Here is a 15,019-nt window from a genome sequence, read left to right as displayed (position 1 = left end):
TTTTTAACTGCTTTCTTTATGGATGAGGAGCACATAGTTCAAATCATGGTTAAAAATCCTTGGTTAAAAAAAAATGTCCCCATCTAAGTCTAATACTATAATTAGGACAAAGGGGCTTAGTCAGGACTTCCTCAAAATTTCTTGTGCTCAATTCAGGCATTAAGAAATGGTGTGTGTCGTATGTTCACTGCAGCACTATTCACAATAACAAAAACATAGAACCAACCTAAATGCCCATCGATGGTAGACTGGAGAAAGAAAATGTGGTACATATGCACCTTGGAATACTACGCAGCCATAACAAGGAAGGAGATGATGTCCTTTGCAGGCACATACAGCTGGAGGCCATTATCCTTAGCAAACTAACCGCAGGAAGAGAAAACCAGATACTGCATATTCTCGCTTATAAGTGGGAACTAAATGATGAGAACACATGGACACATAGAGGGGAACAAGACACACTGGGACCTACTGGAGGGTGGAGGGTGGGAGGAGGGAGAGCATCAGGAAAAATAACTCGAGGACTAGGTTTAGTACCTGGGTGATGATATAACGTGTACAACAAACTCCTTAACACGAGTTTACGTATATAACAAACCTGCACATGTACCCCTGAATCTAAAATAAAAGTTAAAGAAAAAATAAATGTGTGTGTGTGTGCGTGTCCTCACGCGCGCTTGCTGCCTGAGAGTTGAGGAAGAAATTGTGAACAGGAACCCTATGTTTGCTTATTTGTCTATATCACCGCTCTTTCTCCCACCCTATTCTCCTCCTAGTGATCCCTCCCAAACCCTGTCTGCCCCAGATCTTTTCCTCTCACCCACAAGCCTGGAAGATTCAAAGGCGATGGGAAGCGACCCCGCCTTCTTATGAATATGCGACAGCAAGGGACTGGGAGAAGCAGGAGAGAAAATCCCTGCAAGGAATCCACCCCAGGTCTGCCTGCCCCGGCTCAGCCCCGGCCCTCCCACCCTCCCACCCTCCCACCCTCCCCACGTCCTTTCAAGAACAGCAAACAATAGACCAGCCCAGCCCTGGAAGCCGCGCTGGCCACGGAGGGTGACGCAGAACTGCTCATCTCCAGGGAAAGGCGACATCCCGAGAGCCCTCCAGAGCAGATCTGAGCTCTGCTGGGCGGGGAAGCGGAGACTGATTCGCCGCGGTCGCGGGCCCAGCGGCTGGGAGGTCCCGCGCTGGCCGAGCAAATGAGGAGGGCGCAGGGCACGGGGGCGGTGCGCGCCCAGGACAGTTTCCCGTCGGCTTCTCCCGGACTGTCCTACCACTTCCATCTCGGAGCGGGATGCTCGGATCCCCGCAAGGCCTCCTGCGGACGTGGGAGAGTTGCTGAGACAGGCAAGCGGGGTTTCGCTACTGGTTGCCACCCCTCCCGCCCTTTTGGGGAAGGTAGAGCTAAGCAGCATTTGGCCGAAATCCTGTGTCCGTGGAACATTTATTATTATTATTATTTTTCCTGAAACGCAGGTGAGAGTTGATGAGGCTCAGCGTCTCCAGATAAAAGAAGGGACAGAGCTGTCGGTGCGGTGAGGTTTGAAAAGTTGCGGCGGCCCCGGCAGCTGCAGGGGGCGAGCGCGGAGCAAAGCCCGGGCCGCACCAGACGGGCCCTGAGTCTCCAGGGCTCCTCGTCCCCATGCGCCAGCGTGTCTGATGCTTCACTGGACCCGGGTCTCTTTCTCAATGTCATCTCACAGCCTCTGTCCCTTGGGTAGGGAATCAGGCTTCTGAGCTATCATCTGCTTAGTACCGTCGTCCTCTGCTTTGGAAAATATTTGAATTGTGGTCTGATAGAAGACATGAAAAAGTTAGAATACTACTAGATTCCAAAGGGAAAAAAAAAGTTTCTTCGTTTACAAGTAGCATCTACTGATGGGAATTTCTTAATTGTTATCATTTAAGAAAATACAGAACCAGGTTTGGATCCATGAAAACGAATTGGTCTTCAGCCTTTCAAACACTGGCCAAAAAAATTTGCAAAAGAAAAACACAGGCATCAGGTAGCAGGCACAGTATTAAAAATTCAGACAGTTTTACTGTCGGATCTTAAAATATATTAGAAGTGTGTGACTTTCATAAAGGACGAGAGAGAATCAACTTCATGCTATTTCGATAGGTATTTTCTAGATATGCCAGATAATTTTGTCTTATTATCTCACAGATTACTTGTTTCAGCCATACACCATGGGGAAAAAAATGGCAAGGGGTTTGAATGATCGTTTCCAGAGCAGTTTTTCGTAGCTACAGTAGTACTTCCATTTTACAAATTCTCTGTGTTAGTCATTCACTCATATATTTCATTCACCAAACATTTATTAAGGCTCTTCTATGTGCTGTGTACAGTGCTAGACTTGGGAGAAGAGGGATAAGTGGTGAGAGGGACATACAAAATTGAATTAGAAAAATTCACAGTTTAGGCAACTGGAAATGCTAGGAAGCAGTTGTAAACCACTATGATACATTCTTGTCGTGAGACGCCACCAGGGCAGCCCCTGCTAATGGCCGGGAGAGGTACACTGACCACAGCTGAGTTTCGGGGTTCATCTGCGTGGTGGCCTTTGCTCTTTCAAGGCAGCCACTATTGGTTCCATTTACAACAGGAGGAGACCAACACTAAAAGTGCAGTGATGAGCCTCATGTCTCACAGTTAGTCAGGCTCCTAATCCAAAAGCCACTGCTATGACCTGCGCTTCCGGACATTCTGCCATTTGATCCCTACAACCTCACTACCTGAAGGACTATATTTTGATCATTCTTAATGGTGAGTGCAAATTTCTAAATAATAATAAGGCAATTTTATTTTTGGTTGAGATGTTTCTAAAGTCACATATTTCTAAAGTTAGATATCAATTGCATTTCTGAAGAATATGTGTTTTTCCTACTGGAATGTTGCTGTTGTCCATAACCTTTTTTTCCCCAGGGTTTCTGAGAAGTTGTTGAGAAAATTAAAATTTTGTTATTTATGATTTTAAGACATTTAGAGGCACTTGTATTTTAAAGTATGCTATAAGTATGCTATAAGTTGCTATATAGTATTAGATTTGTTTGAAGCAAACCCACCAGTTATTATTGAAACTTTTATTAACTTTTTAAATGTTGGTCAGATTTGTTAGTTTCCACTTGTAGTTACATTAGAGAGGTGATAGGAGAAATCTCCATCTAGAAAGTTGTCCTAGAAAGTTCAGGTATGGACCTGGCTGGTCCTGCATGGAGATTTAGGTATGTGTGCCCCAATGCTGAAAACCTCTTCGAACTGATTTTATTAGTGATTTCACTGTTAAAATTTAATTTTTTCAAATAGATTACAGAATCCCTGAAGGCAAGAACCAGGTCTTTTGTGTCTTTAGAATCCTCTTCCTAATACAAAATACAACACTTTTCATAAATGTTAACTGGCAGAAAAAACAAAAATAAGCTTTACCAGGCTGATGAAAACCACAGTAGAAATAATCCTTTAATATATACTATTCGGAGTCACAGAAGTTTTATTTATTGGCTGATTTTTTTTTTCATGACTGCTATACTGTAAAATGCTAGGGAGTATCTATTTTACAGGTAGAAAAACTGAGCTATGGTGATTTATATACAAAGCATTTTCCACTGCATTATCTTAATTGAACCTCACAACAACCATTCAAGAATTCAAATGCAATTTTCTCTTTCTTTTTTTTTTTTGGAGATGGAGTCTCGCTCTTGTTGCCCAGGCTGGAGTGCAGTGGCGCGATCTCGGCTCACTGCAAGCTCCGCCTCCCGGGTTCACGCCATTCTCCTGCCTCAGCCTCCCAAGTAGCTGGGACTACAGGCGCCTGCCACCGCGCCTGGCTAATTTTTTATATTTTTAGTAGAGATGGGGTTTCACCGTGTTAGCCATGATGGTCTCGATCTCCTGACCTTGTGATCCGCCCGCGTGGCCTCCCAAGAGAAACTCTTTTAAAAGACAAAGAAAGAGGCAGAGCAGGTGAAAGGAGGAGCTGGAGAGGGGCTCCACGAAGCAAAAGAAAGTGAGGGTAAGAAAAAAGAGTCAAGTGAAGTGGATCGAAAACCAGTCAGTGTTAAAAAATGGGATTCAGGGGACGAGAGAGAATGTCTCTGCTAGGGCTGCCATCACAAAATACCACAGCCCGGGGGCTTAAGCAACAGACACTGATTGTCTCCTGGTGCTGGGGGCTGGGAGCATGAGACCAGTGAGTCTGCAGGGATGGTTCCTTCTGAGGCCTGGCTCTTTGGCTTGCAGACAGCCACCTGCTCAGTGAGTCCTCACATGGTCGTCCCTCTGTCTGTATTGTCTGTGACCTAATCTCCCCTTATAAGGACACCGGTCATATTGGATTAGTGCTCACCTATATAACCTCATCATACCTTAATTACCTCTATCATGACCCTATCTCCAAATATAGTCTGATTCTGAGGCCCTGGGGTTAGGACTTCACCATGTGAATTTTGAGCCCATAACAGAATAAAAAAGGTGACACTGGTCTATGACTTTGAAGACAAGACCTGTTGACCTGTTTCAATTGCTTCGTTATTCCCATTAGTACTCTCTCCTAGCACAAATAAATGGTTGAGTGAGTTGTGGCCATTTATTTTTACATTAGTATATTCTGTTGGTTGTTTAAAAAAAAAAATCCAGAACTGAATTCTATATTTATCTTGCTTTGTACTTTATTTTCACTCTCACCTCTGCAGGGCCAGCTTCAAACCCCGTCAAGTTTTGAAGAGGGCAGATGAAGCTGATGACAGCTCCAGTTCCAGCTATGGGTGACCTGTCTGTCTGCCTTTTTTGAGCTGTGGAGTGATCAGAGTCATATTCGCTGCCTGTGCAGTACCACAGGCCTGATGAAAATGAAATGGCAACACCACACAGATGGCGAAGCGTAGGTCTCACAAGCGTCCTGGCCACGAAGGTAAGTCAGGGCAACCTTCTACCTGCATGGCATTATACATGCTTATTTCCAACAAGATACCTGTGAGTATCTCAGGCTGTTTGTAAAGGGCAGACAGTAGAATTTGAAGGTTTTCTCTGAGGCATTGAGCAACTAACAAGGTTATAATTGGAATGTGTGGAAAAGACTCAAATTATTAAAATATGTGGTCATAAAATAACAGGGTCCGGAGCGAAGCCTGCAGGTCTTGTAGTCAGTGCCTTGACCTTGGCTGGACTACACAGCACTACTTTGCAATAGGAATCAATACTGTTTCAAGTCGGCCAGAGAAGAAAGTTCTAGTGTCTTCTGCCACAGATGTTTTGGTATTCTTCAATCATCAGAGTTTCAAAGTACTTGGGTTTGTGTCCTTAACTTCCTTCATTACTTCATATTCTGCCTTCAAAGGGAGGGAGAGTAGTTGTCTACTTTATTCATTTAATGTCTTCTCATTTGCTGAAAGAGGCTTATTTGTTCGTTTGTTTGAGAGAGACGGAGTCTCACTCTATTGCCCAGGCTGGTGTGCATGGTGGAGTCTCAGCTCACTATAACCTCTGCCTTCCAGGTTCAAATGATTCTCCTGCCTCAGCCTACTGAGTTGCTGGGATTATATGTGCCTGCTACCACACCTGGCTAATTTTTTGTATTTTTAGTGCAGACGGGATTTCACCATGTTGACCAGGCTGGTCTCAAACTCCTGGCCTCAAGTGATCTGCCTGCCTCAGCCTCCCAAAGTGCTGGGATTACAAGCATGAGCCACCACACCCAGCCTGCTGAAAGAGTTTTAAGAGGTCTCTTCTTGGCCTTTATCTGTAAGTTGAATAGAAACAGTGTGCATTGTTCTAGAAGCCTGTTTCTATCACAGCCCTGCAGCACCTGCCCTTCCCATGGTGAGGGGTGGAGTTGCGGTCTGTGTCCTCCTCTCATTTCTCCCAGTCATTCCCCCTTGAGGACCAACCTCTTTACTTCTAAGTGTGAGGCCCTGGACTAAATTCTGCAGTATCCCTGCTGAAGAGCAGGGCTCCAATACTCCCGGCCGGTGGCGCTTTCCCAAGGAACAGAGAAAGCGTTCAGAATGCACTGCTTGAACAAGATCCAGTAGCTTTCCTTGATAGGTGCTTTCAGAAACAGGTTCTTGTGTGGAACAGCTACTGGTATCCCAGCCAAAAAACGCTGCCTATTTCTCAGAGCTGTGCATACAGGGATCGGTGCCAGCACTTGGAGTTTGAAAAGTCAGCTTTGAAAGTGAGTGCAAGTCCCTGCAAGGTATACCGAATGGTCTGTTTCTCCTTATTTGAGCCAGACATCTGTGTAACTGGCCGGCTGTGCACATCACATGGCACAGAGTCGGGAGGTGAGCTGGTCTCTTCAGTTGGTGCTTTTGCTCACCACAGACACACTCCCCTGAAATTAAGGAACAGAACAAGCAAACACAAATGTATAAAGATGAGGAAAAATGATTGTTCTGGCTGTTGATGACTTCCTCAGGTGTGGCATAGTGAAATGCCCTTTCTTCCCCTCTGCTACTGAAGATGGTAATGACATTGAGTGGCTTGGAAGTTCAAGCCACTCAACAAATATTGATCAGTCACTCCCTGTATACTCAGTGCTGATGGGGGCACAAGATGTGTCACGACCTTTCTTCCTGAGTAGTTTATAATCCGGCTGAGGGTGAGCGGCCATGCACCAGGGAATCACTGGAAAGGTTGTGTTGTGGCACAGCCACCTAGGAATGCCTGTTGCTGGGGCTCAGTGGCCAGAGACCCAGATCCTCCCCTGCTGTGGCTTCTTTCCGTATGCCTGTCTTCTGCACATTCTCATCACCCCAACCCCAATCCAGGCTCTGTCCCACTTTTCAGCCGAGGGTCTTCCTCCAGTCCAATGAGTATGGCTCAAGAAATCCTAGCTCTGGTTGTGTCTACCCCAGTGTGAGTCTGGCTGTGGGGTTTCAAGCCTTATCTTCCTGGAGGAATTTCATCAGGGTCTGAAGGAAATAAAAGGGACTGGGCTGCAGGAGAGGAAGAGAAGGCTGTCTTTCTTCATTATTGATAGTAGTCGTAAATCATTGGAAAGTCCTAAAAGACTGCCTGAGTGTTCATTTCCAGGACAGAAGGATACACAGGCAACATAAGAATATAAGACTGTGTTGAGGGCAACATCAGGGCAGAGGAGAAAAACACTGGTCACAACCCTAGACAGTGACTAAAGAGAGGAAAACAGCCAGCGGTCCATATGCTGAGACGGATGGAAGAAGAGACACCCAGGGACGAGGAAGCCAGCCTGGGGACCAAGTGTCCCTGGATTACCTTCAAGTGCCCTGCTCCTCACCCATGGAGCTCAGCTCCCCTCTTCATGATATCAGCAGTGATATGGAGCTGGAGGGGTCCCCAGAAAGAAGTGCAGCTGTCGCTCATTCCATCCTTCCTGGCATTTCAAGTTGGAATGACAAATTCAGTTCCAGGGTGTCAGGTTTGCAGGTGTTTTTAGCATACCAAGGTCTCACATGTACACATTAGGTGTTTGGGCTGGTTTGGGGACCTAGTCATCATATACCCTGTTTCTAAGGAAAATACATGCCAAATTCCAAACAAGTGAAATATATTTTTGTTGCACAAAGCCTTTGTAACACGAAGATTAGAGCATCTGAGAATTTTATTTGGATGGCGAGGCACAGAATAAAATGGGCCAGAGGAGCATCAGGGGACCTGGGTGCAAGTCTTGCACAAATGCACAAATGCTTATCAAGCCAAATTCCCAAATATTTAGATGTGTTGTCTGCAGGAAGAGGGTTTTGATCAGTTTCTAAGGCCCTCTCTGTTCTTTCTAAAAACCAGCCTAAAATGGAACATGTCTTCTCTAAGAATCCCAAATGCCTCTCAAGTATCAACCCCTTTTATCCATGCATCCTCTCTGTTACTATGAGGCTGCGAGAATAATGGTATTTTCTCCTTTTTATACAAGAGGTAGGGAAGGTCTCACTGAGAAAACTTTTAGAGGGGAGGATTTCTCCACTCTAATTTATTCTCTTTGGTTTGTTCCTTTGTGAAACAGCGTTGTCTTCAGCTTCGATGTCTTAGCCTTGAGAGAGCAGCAGGGCCATTCAGCAGTCATTTAGCCACAGGAATGTCCGTCACTGAAGGCTGTTTCTGCTGTTGTATTCTGTCTCAGACCTAGATGCCTGCAGTTTCCTCGGATTGAAAACATGGAGGGATCTCCTGGTGCAGTGAGTCCAGCATATCCAGAGTGAAGCACAGTCACTGGTCATTTTACACTACATGGAAAATCTCAACAAGTTTCAAATTTTGATATTTTGGGTTTGTATTTTAAATGAAGTAGGGGATTGAAAACTCTGCTGAGCCTCTTAGTAAAATGAAAAACTAATTAATTAATTAATTTTTGAGACAGTCTCACCCTGTTGCCCAGGCTGGAGTACGGTGGCGCGATCTCGGCTCACTGCAACCTCCACCTCCTGGGTTCAAGCAATTCCTTTGCCTCCCCGACCCGAGTAGCTGGGATTACAGGCGCCCACCACCACGCCTGGCTATTTTTTGTATTTTTAGTAGAGACAGGGTTTTGCCATGTTAGCCAAGCTGGTCTCAAACTCCTGACCTAAGGTGATCCGCCCGCCTTGGCCTCCCAAAATGCTGGGATTACAGGCATGAGCCACCGCGCCTGGCCTAATTTATGATGAAAGTAGGTCTGTTAGTTTATAAAATGATAGTCATCTTGGGGTCTTAATTAGCAGACTTCCTTTCAGTGGTTGTGTCTCTAGATAGCAAATGTGGCATTTTAGAAAATACTTCCGTGTCTAGCTATTAGAATATGTCTATTATCAGGAAATGAGTAGCCACACTACTTGCAAAATGTTCATATTTAGAGGGATAAAAGATAGCTTGAATAATATGAAAATCAACACTTCCCCTGATGGTGGAAATATGTTCTTTGGAGAAAAGTTCAAGCATTTTTAAAGTTAAGTATTATGTTTATTACTGTTAGCTCTGGGACTCTGCCCAAACAAATCATTTTTCCAACCATGTTAATTCCACTGAATTAAACTTTATTTTTTTTCTTCTCTAAAAGACCTGATTTGCCCGTAAGAATTTGGTTATGCAATTATATGTTGACCAATTAGAAGGTAAAGCCCTGGATTCTAAAAGTTTTGTGTTTTATTTGCCCGTTTTTTTTTTTTTGAGACAGATTCTCACTCTGTCACCCAAGCTGGAGTGCAGTGGCACGATCTTGGCTCACTGCAGCCTCTGCCTCCCAGATTCAAGCGATTCTCCTGCCTCAACCTCTTTAGTAGCTGGGACTACAGGCGTGCACCACCACGTATGGCTTTTTTTTTTTTTTTTTTTAGTAGAGATGGGGTTTCAGCATGGTGGCCCGGCTGGTCTCGAACTCCTGACCTCAGGTGATCCTCTCGCCTCAGCCTCCCAAAGTGTTGGGATTACAGGTGTGAGCCACTGTGCCTGGCCTTATTTACCATTTTTAAGTGTACACTTCAGTGGCATTCAGCACATTCACATTGTTTTGCAACCTTCACCACCATCTATCTGCAGAACTCTTTTCATCTTGCAAAACTGGAATTTTGTATCCATTAAACAATAACTCCCCACTCGCCCTCCCAGGCTCCTGGCAACTGCCGTTCTACTTCCTGTCTCTGAATTTGCCTACTCTAGGTACCTCTTATATGTGGATTCTACAGTATTGTCCTTTTGTGTCTGGCTTATTTCACATAACTTATTGTCCTTAAGTTCCATCTATGTTGTGGCATATGTCAGAATTTTGTTCCTTTTTAAGGCTGAGTAATATTCCATAATGTGTATGTATTATATTTTGTTTATTCATTCACCTGTTGATGGAAATTTGGGTTGTTGCCACCGTTTTCATTCTTTTCAATGGCTGCATGGTATTCTGTTCTATGGTGATAACATATGACATAAACCAGTTCTCTGTAGATAGGCTTTCAGTTTTTTCCATGCTTCTGTGAATAACTGTAAACTTAAACCATTTCACACATATACAAGCATGTTTGTCAATCAAATGTATTGATATTGATTTGTTGAAAAGGAATGTTTTGGGCATATTAAATATTGGGATGTTGATGAATTGCCTTCTGTGGAGATTATACCAATTTATGTCTCCTGTAGACGGAACCTGTCTCCCAAGCCTTCACCAACACAGCGTGTGAACAAATTCCTTCATCTTTGCTCATCTCATGATGGAAAATGGTGTCTCAGTGTGGTTTTAGTTTACATTTCTCCTATTTTAAGTGATCTCTGAATGTTTCAGGGCCATTGTATTTCTTTTACTGCAACTATCTGTTCATTTCCTTTGTTCACTTTTCAGTTAGGCTCTTGGTTTTTTCCCCTCCTTCTTCTTTATATTGGCTGTTGTTACAAAATGTGCTTTTATTTGTTTGTGCAGCCTGTGGGAGTCTTTGGGGTTCTGCTGTGAAACAGGAGATTGTCTGAGAATTAGTAAAACCTACTTTTCAAAACCGTTGATCGAGTACTGGCTTGGTGACAGTAGGTTTTATTCAGGGGAGAGTCCAGTGCGGTAGGAGGCCTTACTGAAGTGGTTCATATTCAGAAGGAATAATATCCTTGTGAGAATTTTATAACAATCTGTATTCTCATAATTGTTTTAACGTTAAGATTTACTTATCTTTTAAAAGTTGAATATGTAAACTCCAGATAACAAATAACTTAGTAATAGCATATTGTTAAATTTCATTTTGCTAAGCCCATACAGCTAACTGCATACTGGAAAACTCAAACTCAACATGTCCCACTCTGAATTCGTTCCTTTGACCCACAGAGTAACTTCCCAGTCCCTTAATTTTCTGTCTTGCTTTTCAGGTATCTCTCCACTCTCCTCCGCATCCAGTACATCACCGCCATGGGCTGAATGTTTGTGTCCCGGCAAATTTCTGTGTTGAAATCTAAGCCCCAAGATGATGGTATCAGAGATGAGGGCTTTGGCAGGTGGTTAAGCCGTGAAGACAGAGGCCTGATGAAAGGGGTTGGTGCCTTTAGAAAAGAGGCCTCAGATAGCTGTCCCGTCCCTTCTACCATGTGGGAATGAAGAGAGACAGTATCACCTGTGAACCAGAAGGTGGCGCTCACCAGACATTGAATCTGCTGATGCAGTGTTCTCGGATGTGAACCAGAAAATCTGAGACGGGTCTTAGTTAATTTGGAAAGTTTATTTTGCCAAGGTTGAGGACGTGCTTGTGACACAGCCTCAGGAAATCCTGATGACATGTGCCCAAGGTGGTCAGGGCACAGCTTGGTTTTATACATTTAGGGAGACATGAGGCATCAATTAATATATGTAAGAAACACTGGTTCGGTCTGGAAAGGCGGGAAAACTTGAAGCAAAGGCAGGAAGGCTGGAAGCAGGGAGGGAGCTTCCAGGCCACAGATAGGTGATACACAAATGGTTACATCCTTTTGAATTTCTCATTAGCCTTTCCAAAGGTGGCAAATCAGATATGCATCTATCTCAGTGAGTAGAGGAATGGCTTTGAATAGAATGGGAGGCAGGTTTGCCCTAAGCAGTTCCCGGCTTGAGTTTTCCTTAGTGATTTTGGAGTCCCAAGATATTTTCCTTTCACATGGACTTCCCAGCCTTTAGAACTGTCAGAGATAAATGTCTGTTGTTTATAAGCCACCCAGTTTATGGCATTTTGTTATAGCAGCCCAAACCAAATAAGAAGACCGCCAGCCAGTTCTACCTAAACAGTCCCTCCATGTGTCCACCATCCTGAGTCCCCATTACCACGCCTTGTCCAGACCCCAGCATTTCTGTGACTTGATGCAATATAAGTTTACTGCCTAAATAACAGGTACAGGACTTTGTGTGGACAAATGTGCTCTTTTCTCCTGGGGTAATATCTACGTACAAATGACTGGGTCACGTGGTAGGTATTTTTAACTTTTTAAAAAACTACCAAACTGTTTTCCATAGTCTTTGCACCATTTCACTTTCCCACCAGCAATGAATGAGTGTTCCAGTAACTCTGCATTCTCAACAGCACTTGTTATCATCAGCACTTGTTATCATCACCTTAAAGAGTTTCAGCCATTCTAAAGGTGTGTAGTGGTTTTCTCCCCACCTTTTAATTTTCTTAATAGTGCCCTTCAAAAAACAGAAGTTTTTAATTTTGATGAAATCTAGTTTACCAATTGTTTTCTTTTATGGATTGTGCTTTTTGTTGTTACATGTATGAAATCTTTGCCTAACCCGAGAGTGCAATATTTTTTTTCCATGTGTTCTTACAGAAGTCTTATATATCTATGTTTTACATTTAGGTCTACGATCAATTTCAGTTAATTTTCATATAGGGCCTAAGATATGGATTCAGGTTCATTTTCTGGCACATGAACATCCATCTGTTCCAGCACCATTTGGTGAAAAAATGATACTTTTCCATTGAATTACTTTTGCATTTTTATTGAAAATAAGACAAAATTCCAAATACCATAATCCTGAATGCTAAAATCCCAAAAGATCAAAGATCCTAAAGTATAAATCCCTAAAGTCTAAAATTCTGAAAATCACAATCACAGGATAGGGTTTTTTTTCCTTTTCTTCTATTTTTTTCACTATTTTAAATAGCAAAACAATTCACTATGCTATATATTTCATCGTTGCATCATTTCCAAAACTTGACGTATAGGTTGTGCAGAGACGTTTAGAGAGTCCTAATTTGTTTCATGCATTTTTTTGCAAATGTGACTCCATGAAAGTTCATTATCTCAATGTTGATTTTGTGTATAAACATTGTGTATGTACATGAAAACATTGAAACCTCCTCAGTGATGTCCTTTTTGTACACCTGCATTTGTAAAAGACAACATTTTTTGAGATCTCAGCTCTTTGGGTGACTGCATATGTAGTGGTAATCCATTGTGGTTTTTGATCAATCTTGTCAAAAGACTTCGGTTTTTTATCACAGTATTTCAGATGAGCACATATACAAAGCTGGTTGCACACAATTACCAATCATAGTGATATGTGTTTACACATTTTCCTTTTGACCTACTTCTTTAGGAATACAGTTTATCTGCTCATAAATGCTATATCTGTGCCAGGTATAGTCGTATACCTGAGTATTTATTCTTGCAAAAACATGTACGCTAGTATTGCTTCTTTTATTGTGTAAAGCGGCCTATGAAGTGTTCTGTTGTGTTTTTATATGTTTCTCAAATAAATCCCCCCCTCCCTTTTTTTTTGAGATGCAGTCTCATGTTGTTGCCAAGGCTGGAATGTAGTGGTGTGATTTGGGCTCACTGCAAACTCCGCCTCCCGGATTCAAGCGATTATCCTGCCTCAGCCTCCCGAATAGCTGGGATTACAGGCATGCACCACCAGGCCGGGCTAATTTTTGTATTTTTAGTAAAGATGGAGTTTCACCATGTTGGCCAGGCTGGTCTTGAACTCCTGACCTCAGGTGATCCACCTGCCTCAGCCTCCCAAAGTGCTGGGATTACAGGAGTGAGCCACTGTGCCCACACCCACTCCCCTTAAAATGTAAGTAAATATCTTCAGGAATTTTTAAAATTATTTTTTCCAGAATTATATTTTCAGGATTTTGGATTTTAGGGATTTTTGATCTTTCAGAATTTTAAGAGCTGGGATTGTGTCTTTCAAGACTGCTTCTTCAGGGACTATGACGGGCTTCCCTCTAGACAGCATGGGCTAGGAAGCATGTTCTGGAATGTGACATTTAAGCTGAGAACTGAATTGTACAAAAAACCTAGCCACGCCAATTACCCTAAGTGAATTAATGCAAAAATAGAAATCCAAATACCACATGTTTTCACTTATAAGTGGGAGGCAAGCATTGGGTGCACAGGGACATAAAGATGGGAAAATAGACACTGGGGATTCCAAAAGGCAGGAGGAAGGGAGAGGGTTGAAAACTTACCTATTGGGCACTGTGTTCACTATCTGGGTGATGGGATCAGTTGAAGCCCAAACCTCACTGTCATGCAATAAATCCTTGTAACAAACCACTCACGTAGCTCCTGAATCCAAAAGAAAAAAAAAACCAAAAAACAATATTAACTTTTACCCGAAAACCACCTAGCCACAGAAACCAGGGGGCAGTGGTGGAGAGGAGGCCCCAGGAGGATTCTAGGTGAGGTGGCTGGACATGCAGAAGCCCTGCTGGGGAAGGAAGAGGTTTTGTGTTTAGGAAGTGAAAGCCCAGGTAGCTGAGCTGTGGCGAGCCGGGAAGAATGAAGGGATGAGACAGCAGAGACACAGGCTTCGGTTCTGGGGGTCCTGCTGCTGCCCCACCTCCTCAATGGTCCTCCTGGCCCCTCTCTGCTAAGCAGGAAGCAATGGCATCTTTTTTTTTTTTTCTTTTTTTGAGACGGAGTCTGGCTCTGTCGCCCAGGCTGGAATGCAGTGGCGCAATCTCGGCTCACTGCAAGCTCCGCCTCCTGGGTTCACACCATTCTCCTGCCTCAGCCTCCCGAGTAGCTGGGACTACAGGCGCCCGCCACCACGCCCGGCTAATTTTTTGTATTTTTAGTAGAGACGGGGTTTCACCGTGTTGGCCAGGATGGTCTCGATCTCCTGACCTCGTGATCCGCCTGCCTTGGCTTCCCAAAGTGCTGCGATTACAGGCATGAGCCACCGCGCCCGGCCACAATGGCATCTTTTACCCATGAAGTTGTCGGCACAGTTGGGAAATAGCAGGCAGTTCCAGCGGAGTTTCTCAAGGCTTGGATTTGGCTAGGAAGTTAGGCGGTAGTGGGGACAGACTCAGAGGTTTTAGGAATGACCACCCTGTTTCCAGTATGTAGGAAAATGACTTCTTGAGACAGAAAACTCTGAAATTCTTTTTTTTTTTTTTTTTTCAGATGGAGTTTCGCTCTTGTCACCCAGGCTGGAGTGCAATGGTGTGATCTCGGCTCACTGCATCCTCCGTCTGCTGGGTTCAAGCGATTCTCCTGCCTCAGCCTCTCAAGTAGCTGGAATTACAGGTGCCCGCCACCATGCCCAGCTAATTTTTGTATTTTTAGTAGAGACGGGGTTTCGCCACGTTGGCCAGGCTAGTCTCGAACTCC

At 43.8% G+C, this 15,019-nt stretch overlaps 1 long non-coding RNA gene across 2 annotated transcripts; it reads left to right on the top strand.

Annotated features, from left to right (window-relative positions):
* Positions 1-920: 920 nt before the first annotated feature.
* Positions 921-13,957, top strand: LOC105370119 (uncharacterized). 2 transcript variants are annotated; one of them, XR_941760.4, is made up of 3 exons: positions 921-2,773; positions 4,699-4,916; positions 7,986-13,957. It is a non-coding gene; the product is annotated as an uncharacterized LOC105370119 (long non-coding RNA). The 2 variants fall into 2 exon arrangements; XR_001749796.2 differs by having other exon boundaries at positions 986-2,773; positions 10,796-13,957.
* Positions 13,958-15,019: the final 1,062 nt, after the last annotated feature.

This window comes from Homo sapiens, chromosome 13, assembly GCF_000001405.40.
Source record: "Homo sapiens chromosome 13, GRCh38.p14 Primary Assembly".
NCBI classification, from domain to species: Eukaryota; Metazoa; Chordata; class Mammalia; order Primates; family Hominidae; genus Homo; species Homo sapiens.
This window is presented reverse-complemented; position numbering and strand designations above follow the sequence as displayed.